The sequence below is a fragment of the Homo sapiens genome, chromosome 2 (assembly GCF_000001405.40).
Source record: "Homo sapiens chromosome 2, GRCh38.p14 Primary Assembly".
Classification (NCBI taxonomy): domain Eukaryota; kingdom Metazoa; phylum Chordata; class Mammalia; order Primates; family Hominidae; genus Homo; species Homo sapiens.
In genome coordinates this window covers 182,030,895-182,045,704 of record NC_000002.12, presented here as the reverse complement: position 1 = coordinate 182,045,704, position 14,810 = coordinate 182,030,895, and the positions used below count along the sequence as shown (strand labels likewise).

Sequence of the window (14,810 nt, the reverse complement as noted above, 5' to 3'; positions counted from 1 at the left end):
AATTGTATCTGAGTATCACTATTATGAGTAAACCAACCATTATAAAAATAACATAAAATAAAGCAACATTCTCTTTAACTAGAACTCTGTATAACAAGAGGAAAACTTTTATTTTTTAGTTATAGATGGAAAATTTATTCTTAAAATCACAAGATGTTACTGTACACATTAAATACATATGGATGATTATAAACAAAGTGGTAATCTTTTCATGGCTTAATCAACTGAAGGCATCCTATCATCAATGGAAGTTTTTTTTTTTTTGTTACTAACAGAAAGAGAGGTCAATGGAAAAATATCCTTAAAATCCTATTTCACTTTCTATAAGTTTTTATCGACTTGAAAAATATAGAAGTTAGTTTTTGTCACTTGATCATCTGAAATAAACATTCACTTTTCATCCTAAATAACATGCCTCAAAAAAAGCAATGCTTTATTTATTGAGTTTTAAAGATTGAAGGATTAAATACCTGTGTAATTGGATTCTGTTTTCAGCTCTTGCTATTTTTACCTATCCCGAAAATCTTAACCTTCATGCAGTTTCTCAGTTTTCTTGTCTCAAATGTAATTTACTTGAGGGTTGCACAGTGTGTTCTAAACTGTAGTGATTATTTCTAGTAGCTATATGGAAGAACTGTGAAAGGACAGACATGTAACAAGATACCAGCTCAATATGTTTGGCACCAAGTTCAGATAGGAAAACAGAATATACATATATCTATAGATAGAGAGACAGAAAGATGAAGGAAAAGGAACTTTATCTTTGTATAAGCCTTAAACTAACCATTTTTTTCTCATAATGGTGATAAAAGAGAAAAATAGAATAAAAACACATTTAAATGCAGTTTGTAGATTAACGCCTATGATAATCTGTGTCTTATATGTAAGGTTGTCTGTCACTATGGATCAAAATGTGCCCAATATTTTAACAATAATTTATTGCATATATACTCTGTGCTATGCATCCTTTTAGGAACTAAGTTCCCACCCTCCTGGGGAGTTTAAACTCTATTGAAAAAGACAGATGATTAAAAAGCAACCACAGTACAGTATGATAAATAAGTGCTGCAACAGACGAAGCACCGAGTGTGCGAGAAGCATATATCAGGGGCATCTATCTTATCATTTTTTTCCTTAAAGGAAATAAATCTTTATAAGCTTGCTGCTGAGATGGCCAGCAAAGGTGAGTGGGCAAGGAAGTTGGGTGGGGTAAGACTGGAGATGAGAAAAGATTTTCATCAGATGAAACAGCTTGTGGGAATCTCCCTGAGGTGTGAGAGAGCATGACGTTTTTTAGAAATTAGAAAAAGCTCAAATATTTGGACTATAGAATGCCAGGGGTGAGTTCAGAGAGAAGGGGTTGAAGATTTAGTAAGACTAGATGATTCAGGGATTTGAAACTGTATGAAGTTTGTAGTTTATTCCAAAAGTGATGGAAAACCAATGAAGGGTTTTAAGCAGAAAGAGGCATGACCAGATTTCTTTCGTAGAAAGATCATTCTGACAGTTATGTGGAGAATGAATTGGAGGAGTCCATCCTGGATACAGGTAGCTCAGTTAGGAAGACATTGCAGTTATTCAGGTGATGGATGATGAAGGTGGAACCAGGTGAGAGAGATGCTTAAGAGAAAGAATGGACTCGACTTGCACAATGACTCGACATAGGTGAGGGTGGGGGAACAGGTGACAGGAAAAGTGAGTCAAACATTACATGCAGTTTCTGGCTTAGATTTTGAGTTCATGGAATTGTTCATATTGTGGTGCTTACTGATTATCCAAGTGGGTAGAATTCAGATATAGTCACTCTCAGTAGTGAAAGCGGAGCTGAAGACACAGATTTAGGAGTCTTCAGCACCTAGGGGGTCAATAAAGCCATGAGAGAGGATGAGAATGCCCAGGAAGACGGTGGAGGACTAGAGAAGCAGAGGGCCAAGGTAGCAACTCTGAGTAATAGCAACAAATAAGGAATAGACTGCAGGGAAGAGGCCTGTAAAAAGACACAAGAGAAACCAAGGATTCGAGGGGAAACCTCATGGTAACCTATACAACTTACGTCAGCATACTCTTCAGGGTAGGCATGAAGTTGTCCCGGATCAGCTACTCCACATTTACATGAGTGGCACATGTGTAAACTGCTTACACATGGCGTGCTGTTTAGGTAGATCATTTGTATCATACCATGTCTGGGCATATATGTGGAAAAAAATAGATACTTTATAGAGCTTTCTCCTATTTTTTTCATGTTCTATGCTCGATTTCAACATAAATAACATTACGGCAGATAAATCAGATATCCTTTTGCTTGTTATTTTGCTTATTAAAGTTTTTAAATAAGTATTTTGAGTTCAGTATATAATAACCATATTTCAGACCTTTTGAGGAGGCTTGGCAGGAAGTTGAGGGTATCACAAGACTCTTTGGAAATCTGTTCTTGTAAAATAAAATTTTGGTGGTTTAAGAAAATAATCCAGACACAGATGGATCAAATTTACTTCCACACACATGAATTTGAATACGAAGTGGTTGACCAAATGCATTTTGCATTCATCTAAATATAACTCTGTGAGTAGTGAACTGGCAAAAATGCTGAGTTGTGTGCTCTTTTGCTTTTCTAATGTTTGGCCATTATGTTTTAATAGTCAATTTTTTAAAAATTTTTCTGGTGGCTCATTGTTTGCAGTTGCTTACATATTTTTTAAGGTTAAGGAGAAAGTTTTTAAACAAATATTGTTGTTCAAGTTTTTTAAGGATTCTTATTGTAGCAGATGTTTCAGATGCCCTGCATCCAGAAAGGCTCACAATCATCTCTAGTTGACCGAACATATCTCATTTTCTGTTCTTCTCTTAAAGCTAATACCTCCAGCTTCCCTGGTACCTTTTAATGTGACTTGGTTTCAGTACCATGTTTTCCTGTTTGTCTCATGACTTGATGCCACCTCTCAAAAGCTGGTGCACAGAACTGAACACAACATTCCAGACCAAGGTATAAGGCATTACAATTCTGCTATTGTAGCAGAGGACTAATAGGCTCTTGTTTACTTCATTCCACCTCAACCTCATGCCACATGCATCTTTCCTCTTTCTCCCTAGGGCATTCTCTGACCCTAGAAGAATCAAATGCAGGTGAAGTTAATGCTCTTGGGGGACAGTTCACAACCACTAGAGGACTGAAGCCAGTGAGTGAAAACTTCAGCCTCCTGTTTTCAGTGGGCAGCCCCAGCAAGGTAGGCTAGATGCATCTTAGGAGGTCCCAACACAGTCAAGCCTTCATTTCACAGCAATGACCTTGATAATGAGTCTTTTATTTACTCCTTCTCTCACTTATTCTTGCTTTCTGAAATTCCATCCCAGATAAAGTACTTCCATCCAAATCCTTTTCTAGTCTCTGCATTCCAGAGACTTTAAGTCACTCATTTTTCATATTTATCTGTGACATGAAATAATACATCCTTGAACTTCATTGAACAAAGATCAAGAAGTATTTATTCTTCTTTAATGTTAATTGAAATTTTACCAAATAAGTAGAGTAAAAAAAGGAGTCATACTTTCTATTCTATTCCAGAAAACCTTCTTCAGTGAATACAACTACATAATTCAATTATCACAATTCAACGTGAGTAAGATGTGTTAAATACAACATATACTGACAGATAAGTGGAAGAGAAGGAGCTACATACACGGAAAAGGAAAAAGTATGACTGACCCAGATTACCAGAAGTTCAAAAAATAGTTGGAAAAATGGGATACAAACACATATACGAAATAACCACATATTAGATCAAAGGAATGTAGATAAATACATTATAAATTAAACTTTAAGCACTATAAAGCTGCCAAAAGCAGAATAAACAGAGGTTATGAATTTGGAGAAGGAAGCAAACATGATGACATTTTGTTGCTGGGTAAAGGGCAACTATATTAACACATGAAAGAACATACGGACGTATGTTATATGACCCCTTTGGTCTACTATGATAATTTTTTTGCTTTTCTTTTCTTATTTTTAAACTTTTTTGATTGCATTTTCTTAGCTCATACAGTTTATATACCGAAAGTGGCTACATTTGGGACAATTTTTTTTTTTTTTTTTTTTTTGAGACAGAGTCTCTCTGTTGTCATCCTAGACTGGAGTCAATGGCATGACCTCAGTTCACTGCAACCTCCGCCTCCCGGGTTCCAGCAATTTTCCTGCCTTAGCCTCCCAAGTAGCTGGGAGTACAGGCAGCTGCCGCCACAACTGGCTAATTTTTGTATTTTTAGTAGAGATAGAGTTTTACCATGTTGGCCAGGCTGGTCTCAAACTCCTGACCTCAGGTGATCCACCCACCTTGGCCTCCCAAAATGCTGGGATTACAGGCGTGAGCTACCACGCCAGGCCTGGAACAATTTTTAGTAAGAGAAGTGCTTCATAAGAAGTCCATATCTAATGTCGATGACATATTCCATTTTTTAAAATTGTGAAGAAACTTAGATTAAAACACATCCAATGCAATTCCTATAAAGATATCAACATCATTTTTCACAGAATTAGAAAACAACAACCCTAAAATTCAAATGGAACCAAAAAGGAGCCTGAAGAGCAAAGCAATCCTATGCAAAATGAACAAATCTGGACGTATCGCATTACAGGAATTAAAATTATTCTACAAGGCTATAGCTACCAAAACAACATGGTACTGGTATAAAAGTAGACACCTAGACCAATGGAACAGAATAGAGAACCCAGAAATAAAGCCAGTTACTTACAACTAAATAATCTTTGACAAAGCATACAAAAACATAAACTAGGGACAAGACACCCTATTCAATAAATGGTGCTAGGAAAACTGGCAAGCCACATGTAGAGAAAACTGGGTCCCTACCTCTCACTATATATAAAAATCAAGTCAAGATGGATCAGAGTCTTAAATCTAAGACCTGAAGCCATAAAAATTCTATAAGATAACCTAGGAAAAACTCTGTAAGACATTGGCCTAGGCAAAGAATTCATGACTAAGACCTCAAAAGCAAATGCAACAAAAACAAAAATATATAAATGGGATTTATTTAAACCAAAAAGCTTGTACATGGCAAAATAATAATCATTGGAATAAACAGAAAACCCATGAAATGGGAGAAAATATTTGCAAACTATGCATCCAACAAAGGACCAATATCCAGAATCTACAAGCAACTCAAACAAATCTGCAAGAAAAAAAATAAATAATCCCATTAAAAAGTGGGCAAATGACATGAATAGGCAGCTCTCAAAAGAAGATATACCGATGGCCAATAAATGTATGAAGAAAATGCTCAATATCACTAATCATCAGGGAAATGCAAATTAAAACCACAATGAGATACACCTTACTCCTGCAAGAATGACCACTATTAAAAAGTCAAAAAACAATAAATGTTGGTATGGATGTGGTGAGAAGGGAATGCTTAAAAACTGCTGGTGGGGATGTAAACTAGTGCAACCTTTAAGGAAAACAGTATGGAGTATTCTCAAAGGACTAAAAGTAGATTTACTATTTGATCTAGCAATCTCACTACTGGGTATCTACCCAAAGGAAAAGAAGTGAATATATCAAAAAGCACCCACATGCATATGTTTATTGTTGCAAAATTCACAATTGCAAAGATATGGTACCAACCTAAGTGCCCATCAACTAATGAGTGGATGAAGAAAATGTGGTATCTATACACCATGGAATACTACTCAGCTATAAAAAGAATGAAATAATGTCTTTTGCAGCAACTTGGATGGAGCTAGAGGCCATTATTCTGAATGAAGTAATTCAGGAATGAATAAAACTAATATTGTATGTTCTCATTTATAATTGGAGATAAGCTATGGGTACACAAAGACATACAGAGTGAAATAATGGACTTTGGAGACTCAGAATTGGGAGAGGGTGAGGGGGGTGAAGGATTAAAAACTACATATTGGGTACAATATACACTACTTAGATGTCAAATGCACTAAAATCTTAGATTTCACCACTATACAATTCGTCTACGTAACCAAAAACCCCTTGTGCCAGGAGTGGTGGCTCACACCTGTAATCTCAGTACTTTGGGAGGCCAAGGTGGGAGGATCACTTAAGCCTGGGAGTTCAAGACCAGCTTGGGCAAAATAATGAGATCTTAGCTCTACAAATACACAAAAAACTAGCTGGGCATCATGGCACACGCCTAGAGTCCCAGCTACTTAGGAGGCTGAGGTTAGAGAATTACCTGAGTCGGGGAGGTCAAGGCTGCAGTGAGCCATGATCATACCACTGCATTCTAGCCTAGGAGACAGAGTGAGATCTGTCTCAAAAACAAAGAACAACAACAACAACAACAACCCAAAACCCACTTATACTCCAAAAGCTACAAAATGAGACATCTCTAACAGGAAGCTGGTTTGAGCAGTACCATTTGCAGATTACCTCTATGACACTTTCAATCAAAATTATATGGAACAATCAAAGATGATAACATAGGAAAGGAATTCAAAATAGGCCAGTAACAAGTTCATATTTCTCATCCTAGTGGAAATATTCCTTCTGCTTAACAGCAACCATAGAAAAGAAGATCAATACTTATATAAATTGAAAAGTAAATGTTGCAATATTATGGACAAATAGAGTATACAAGTTTAGAATTGTGTGGAAGAACATAAAGAACATCTACTCCAAACTCGTACTCAAAGCAAGGATCCTTTCTGTGTGTCTTAACAGACTTTCAATAACAGCTTACACAGTTTAAATAAAAGGGAGTGAATTAAGGACTTTTGAAACAACCTCTCATAAAAAAATGAAATAACAATTAGAAAATTATTTTCTATTCTAAGCTAAAATCTACCTGCCTGGAGCTTCTGCCCACATCCTTGTTACTTATAGCAGTTGATGACTCTTAAAAGCTGATCCTTAGAACTGAGCACTACATTCCTGATGAGGGTGTGTCATAGCTCTCTTAATGTCATGAAGGACTGTATCAGCTGCCAAACACATTAGGCACACACAGCCTATTGCTTTTTTAAATCCATGGATTTGATTCACAAAAACCCTTTTCCTTTCTTCTGTATGCAGTCGACTTTAACTAGTTAAAAACAAGATCTTACATTCTTCCCTGATAGAGCTAATCTTGAAGGGTTTCAACCTATCTAAATGGCTTGTCAGGATCTCCTCAGCTTTGATCCTGCCATTCAATGCCTACATATATCTTTTCAGTTTGGGGGCATTAACAACACTTCACTTAAAGTCGTCAATAAAAAATATCAAACAAATATAAGGATGCAAATATTGAGACAGAAGAAGCAAACCACTAAGATAGTTTACTCCAGGTGCCCATGTATCCACTAATCTACAGGGATAGTTAGTTTAAAAATTATGAATAAGGCTGGGTGCAGTGGCTCGTGCCTATAATCTCAGCAGTTTGGGAGGCCGAGGCGGGCAGATTGCTTGAGCTCAGAAGTTCAAGACCAGCCTGGCCAACATGGTAAAACCTTATATCTACAAAAACCACAAAACATTAGCTGGTCATGGTGGTGTGTGCCTGTAGTCCCAGCTACTTGGGAGACTGAGGTGGAAGGATGGAATGAGCCCAGGAAGTGGAGGCTGCAGTGAGCCATGATCAGGCCACTGCACTCCAGCCTGGGCAACAGAGTGAGACCTTATCTCAAATATATATATAAAATAAAATACATATAAATATAAATAGAAATTGCCTGAATATATTAATATTATAACCCAATTATTCTCCACAGTAAATATAGAGCTATCAGGAGATATTTTCCAAATATCTTACTGATATATATGTGGTTTCAGCATGACTTTGATCAATTAATAGAATAATCTAATAAAAGTGTAGAAATAAAGTTGTGAGGAAGTGATTTGCTTTTAATGAGCCTACTCTTGTTTCTAGGAAATGACATTTTAGGTTACTGAGATGTCTGTAATAGATTTTGCTTCAAATTCAGGTGAAATTAACAGTTCATAGTTTCTAAACTCTGAGGTTTTCTTGTTCATAAACATCATGATTACTTGCAGCTCATTTATTTCACCTGTATCTTTATAGGTTGCCATCAATAGCTTGTTGATTATAATTGCTATTCTTTAATTGCTTGGTTTTACACATTTTTTTTTTTTTTGAGATGGATTCTTGCTCTGTCACCAGGCTGGAGTGCAGTGGCGTGATCTCGGCTCACTGCAACTTCTGCCTCCCAGGTTCAAGCGATTCTCCTGCCTCAGCCTCCCGAGTAGCTGGAACTACAGGCACCCACCACCACACCCAGCTAATTTTTGTATTTTTAGTAGAGACGGGGTTTCACCGTGTTGGCCAGGATGGCCTCAATCTCTTGACCTCGTGATCCTCTGGCCTTGGCCTCCCAAAGTGCTTCCTGAGCCTAGAAGGCTAAATAACAAGCTCTCCTATTTTATTACTGAACTTAGATTCAAGTCTTCTTTAACAATATTTACATTTCATCCTCACTTGGAGGAGAATTTCTCTTGTAGAAAACTGTGAAAGAAATATGAGTCAACAACCTCTGCCTTTTTTGTTTGTTTTTGTTTTTAATCTAATATTCTGGCATTGTAACAAAGCAACTGGGAATGCCCTTCTTCTTTTTGCTCCTAGAGAATCTAAAAGCTATTTTATGTATATGTTTAATGGTATGTTATTTTCAAGCCTCAATCCGTTCTGGTATTTAGCCTCTCTAATACAATTGCTACAAATCCACTCTCTCTTTGAAATTCACATGTTGTTATGTGTTCCTTTTTTCACCTTTGTGTTATTTCTAAAAACTGAACATCTAAGGTCTTATCTTTATTGAAACATGCTAATATAACAGAAGGGTAGGATAAAAATCCAGGCTTCTAGTGAGTTCACCTTGAAAATGCAACTTACAACTTACAAATGTGTCATTTAATAGTACATGTATTATACATACACATACACACACATATTAGGTTGGTGCAAAAGTAATTGTGGTATTTGCCATTATGTTTTATATATATACACACACACACACACAAACACATAGAGAGAGAGACAGAGAGAATGTATATATCAGGTTAAGTTATAATAATAACGGTTTCTATTCTCAATAAATTTAGAATTATGAAATGTTGATAGTAGAATGCAGAGATACCTTAGAGATCACCTAGATAAATGTAGTTATTTTAACTATCTAAATACTAAAAATTATGTTTATGCAGAAAAGCAGAATTAAGTATTAGTATACCTGTGTAGTAATTTCATGTTTAAAAATGTTTGTGCATTTTAGTTATATACATGAAATAAGCAACAAATAATAATAGTAATAATCCAGTAACTATTTAATAAGTACTTAGTTTGTATCAGGACTGTGCTAAGCATTTTAACATGTTATATTCTATTTAATCTCAACAAAACTATTGAGTGGTTATTATCAGCCTCCATTTACAGGCAATAAAAGAAGCAAGTCACATAATTAATGGAGAAACCAGGATTTGAAACCAGTTCAAAGCACAGCAACTGAGTCCTCAAGAGGAGAAACTATCTAAATAGAGTTACAGAGATTGTAAGAAGGAAAAGGGCTTTTTGTGTTACCAAATAAATTGAAATCAAATTCAGGTTGAATTTGTAGTTTCAGCCTTCTAACTCACTTTGTTGAAAGGACTTGTTTTGGAGAGCCCGTTTTCTCTTCTGCTGCTCAGTCACAATCCCTGTATGTGGAAAAGCAAATGTGTGTGTGTGTGTGTGTGTATAAACACACAATGAAATGAGGGAGTATAGCATACATAGCATGAGTCTTTATAGTATAATCATTCTAGGATTAGTCAGAAACAATTAAGCTTTTTCCCCTTGGGATATTTAGAATTGGTAGCAAGAATACTGTATTAGTCTGTTCTCACACTGCTATAAAGCACTACCTGATACTGGGTAATTTATAAAGAAGAGAGGTTTAATTGACTCACAGTTCCATAGGCTGCACAGGAGGCATGGCTGAGGAGGCCTCGGGAAACTTACAATCACGGCAGAAGGCAAAGGGGTAGCAAGTGCATCTTCACTTGGCCAGCATGAGAGAGAGAGAGCGAAGGGGGAGGTGCTACACACTTTCAAACAACCAGGTCTCATGAGAACTTTGTCATGAGACAGCACTTGAGGGATGGTGCTAAAACATTAGAAACCACCCCCATGATTCAATCACCTCCCACCAGGCCTCACCTCAAACACTCTGGATCACAACTTAACATGAGATTTGGGTGGGGACACAGAGACAAACTATATCAAATGCCAAGAAGTAAATTCTATGAAGAAACAAATTATGCATAATTCCTCATGGCAATTTCTTTTAAGTAAGGCACTTACATGATTTGTTAGAGGCTTACAGTTGAAAAATTGAGAATTAAATAGTTACTAAAAGCTGATGAAATATTGTGAAAAAATATTTTACTTAGGCATTTGAATGTTTGAATGTAAAAGCAGCTTTGTATAATAACAACCATTTTTGCCATTCATTCATGCTATAAACTTTCACTGTGAATTCGGCACTCTATTCAATGATGGGGATGGGAGGAAGCAAGGTGATGTGGCGATGAAGAGCCCAGATTCACAGTCAAGACTACAGAACTATTTAACAGATGTGCACATGGGCATACAGTCACTTCCCATTCCCTCACAAAGCATTTATTGAGCAACAAGGAGGTGCCAGGCACTGGGCTAGGTATTGGGAATAAAAAGTGCAATCAGACACAGTCCTTTCTTTCAAAAAGAGACAGACCCAAAATAATCACAATGTAGTGCATTAAAGGTGTGTAAGGAGCCACAGGAGTACAGTTCAATCCATAAAACATTCATTGTATTCCTAATATGTGCCTAGGACCATGATAAATGATGTGAACATTTGCTGATTTTGGTGGCCTACCCTCCTATTTTCTTTCCAACAGCAACCTAATAACTTTTGAGGAGTTACATTTTTCCTCTTTGGATAAGTTTGATGAGACTGCCTTTTAGATACCTGGATCTACTTGTGGCCTGCCCACTTATTGACATTCGCACATTTCTGACTTAACATCCTTCCAACTTAAGCCTTCTACTTAAATTGACCAGAATTAATTCGAATAGGTATGAGTAATTAAAACATCAGTCAAACCAGTCCTGCCCTTAAAAGTTTATAGTCTATTTGTGGAGAAACAGTTTAATATAAAAACATCAATGTGTCATGTCATGCTGCTTTTTCTGCCACCTCTCTGCTCTCCAGCCTCAATGACCTTCTTTTTGTTCCTCAAACATGTTATTCTTCTTCCCACCTCAGGGCTTTTGTACATATTTTTCCTTCTAATTAAAAAATATACACTCTATCTCTTCCATATTTTGCACTGAAAGTATTAATTCCATGACTGAGCCCTCTTGGACCACCTAGACTAAGCTACATCTGTCTTGTTATATACTCTGATGCCACCTTTTAATCCAACTTGATAGCATTTATCACAATTATCATAAATTAAACATTTGTGTAGTGATTGATTTAACTTTGTCTTCCTGTCCTTAATAGCACAATGTATAAGAAAATGATTTTGCCTCTATTCTGAATAGGGCAGTTTCCTAGACATAGTAGGCACTCAAAAATATTTCATTGATTGAATAAACTAATAAATAAATGTATTATGGTGTGCTCATGGGGTCAAAAAACACTACACATTCTAGAAAATTCTAGAAGACACACATTATAGCCTGGAGTTAAAAAGCCTTCTTGATTCTAAACCTGAATCTTGACAAAGGAGGAATTAGCCACTGAAAGATCAGAAGAGTTTTGCAGGAACAGAGAATATCATGAATACAATGATACATTTCTAAAACTTTTCTGCGTCCTGGTACCTAGAAGCAGTTCAAAGCGATTTAGCGTAAGGATGAGATTGAAAAGGTAAATAGGAAACATTGTGGCGGGCCTTTAATATCACACAAATGAGCTTGGAACTTTTTCTGCACTTCTTAGAAAATTTTTGAAGGGCTTCATAAATAGAGGAATAGTGTGGTCAGATGTGTATTTTAAGAATATGACTGTTGGAAAAGAGAAGGGTAACGGCAAAGTTGGCACAAGGAGTGAGACAAGGTTATCGTAAAAGAATGGAGATGATAAGGACCTGAGTTAAGCAGTGGTCATAAGGGAGATGTGGGCCACATTTGAGAAATATTTTAAGAGACAAAATGGGCAAAAATTGATTATTAGTTGGTTTTTAAAGAATACATAACAAGGAGCAAGTTTGGAAAGTTAAAGGAAGTCATAAATTCACTTTTAGACATGTTAAATTGATATGCCTCTGGGACAACCAGAGTTAAACATCCAGATGATTTTTAAACATGGACGTCTAAAGATCAGGCAATATTTTTGGCTCAAGACACTGATTTGAAAGTTATCAGTATATGACTGACAGTTTTAGACTATGAGAGTAAATAAAATTAAGAGAGTAAGTATAGGTGTCATGAGGAGAATAGGTATTACAAGCTCTAGAAAGATCATTGTTTGTGTGGTAGGAAACTTAGGAGCAGAGCAAGATGTGGCAAGGAAAGGAGGACATCACAAAAATCAGGGAAGAAAAGAATTGCAAGAAAGTTAACATAGCTAACAATGTTAAGTAGTAGAGAGGGATCAAGGACTTTAAAAATGATTACTGGATTTGGCAATTATTGGATAATTATTAATAGTAACTTTTAACAAAGCAATTGGAGTGGAGTGAATTTGGGGGTAAAGTCAGACTGCAACAGGCTAAAATGAAATAAAAGATAAAGAATTTGCAACAACTCTCTCAAGAAGTTTGTCTCTGAAGGGCAGAAGATGAGGTAATGCCTAGAGAGCTCAAGAGAAGTTTTGTTTTTAAAATAAGAGGCTTGAATATATTGATAACTTAAGGAGAAAGCATTAATATTTATCGAGCACTTAGTATGTTGGGCATTATTCATCCCATCACGCTATTCTAATCCTCATAATAGGTAGTGGAATTATTAACATTTTTATAGATGAGAAAATTGAACCTCTGGCATTGTATAATCCAGGGCAGCTCACACAGCTTGTAAGTAGTGGAACTAGAACCTGAACCCAAGCAGTCTAACTTTGAGCCCACACTGCTAACTATACTGCCTTTCAGCACGAATGGAGACACTGAACATAATGGAAATAAATTCATCAAAAATAAGTATGTGGTGGGGCCCACTATGTATCAGAAACTGCTCTAGGCTCCTGGAATATACCAGTGAACAAAAACCTGACAAAGATCTTTTCCCCTTAGTAATGGAGACATAAACAATAAACACAATAAATAAGTTAATTATATGGTATGTTGGATGGTAATAAGTATTATGGAAAAACGAACCAGTAGTGCAGAGTAATGGGTTTGCAAACTAAATATGGTAGACAGGGTAGGTCTCATTGAGAAACCGACATTAAAGCAAGGTTTGAAAGAGGTGAAAAAGTTAACCACGTCTAGAAACAAATGCAATAGTTGATATTCAGTTCTGATGAAACCAATATGTTAACTCTTCTTTAGATTGGATTAGCTCAGTTGAAAGGGATGGCCCCCTTGACTTTTGGCTGAACTATGAACATTTCAGAAGGCCAGTTTCCATGTTTATCTGCTATGATTTGTTGGTGTATTACATCACTGTAACCACAAATTTAAATGTTTAGGAAAGAACAAGTTACCTTCTACCAATGCAAAAATAAATACTAAACTTTAAACTGATACCCATAGGACTTCCCCATGAAGGGGCACCAAAATTTCTAACTCTCTCCAACAATCTCCCGAGTTTAAGATTGGGCTATGATCTGGAATGTGGAAAAAATAAGATATGGTACAATTTCTTTATCATACATACATGCTTCCTAAGTGAATATCAATCTTTTTTTCTTTTAACAAAATCTTCTAGGTAGGTTTGGCTAAGTAGTAGAATTACTCATAGTAGAATATATAAACCATAAATTATAGAATTTATAAATTTTGAAGTTTCTAGTAAAACATTTCAGCAGCTGTTGATCATGGGAAAACAATGTGTGTGGTCAAAGAGCTGTATCAGTGTTCATATTGCAATGGGACTAAAATGATATTTGATAAGAAAATAAGAAGTGAGGCTATTGTAATACAAATTATGCCTAAGTAATTACAGCAAGGCTTTTGATTTCTCCTTTAACATATTGTTGAATTCTTTTAAAAAATGTGTTTGAAGAAATGATGACATCCTAAGTCATAAATACAAATTCTCCAGGCTATAACTAAGTTAAGTAAATGATTTAAATTTTTTTACTTTATTTTTGCCTCCAAACATTTTTATCCGAATGTTTAGCAACTTAACGACTTTTTTCTTCACATAAAAATAATGTCCACTTCTTAAAATTCAAGCAAGACAGTCCACTATAGTGAAGAAAGCCACTCAATATTACTATCCAAATATAATCATCATTATCAGGTGAATCTTATGCCAGATAATTCTTGTTACATAAACACATATAGAAGAATATAGGGGGAGGAGCCAAGATGGCCGAATAGGAACAGCTCCGGTCTACAGCTCCCAGCGTGAGCTATGCAGAAGACAGGTGATTTCTGCATTTCCATCTGAGGTACCGGGTTCATCTCACTAGGGAGTGCCAGACAGTGGGCGCAGGTCAGTGGGTGCGCGCACCTTGCGCAAGCCGAAGCAGGGTGAGGCATTGCCTCACTTGGGAAGCGCAAGGGGTCAGGGAGTTCCCTTTCCGAGTCAAAGAAAGGGATGACGGACTCACCTGGGAAATCGGGTCACTCCCACCCGAATATTGTGCTTTTCGGACCGGCTTAAAAAACGGCGCACCACGAGATTATATCCGGCAC

The 14,810-nt window shown here is 36.4% G+C and overlaps 1 protein-coding gene across 6 annotated transcripts in view; it reads right to left on the bottom strand.

The window, feature by feature from the left end:
- Nucleotides 1-14,810, bottom strand: part of PPP1R1C (protein phosphatase 1 regulatory inhibitor subunit 1C) — a 176,906-nt gene that overhangs the window by 85,681 nt on the left and 76,415 nt on the right. Inside the window, exon 1 of one of the 6 annotated variants that reach the window (XM_017003451.1) lies at nt 9,615-9,897. The exons of the other annotated variants lie outside the window; for them this stretch is intronic. Coding sequence (XP_016858940.1) covers nt 9,615-9,756 — 142 coding nt within the window. The 5' untranslated portion in view covers nt 9,757-9,897. Of the gene's footprint in view, nt 1-9,614; nt 9,898-14,810 lie in introns of those variants that run through there. 6 annotated transcript variants of the gene reach the window in all.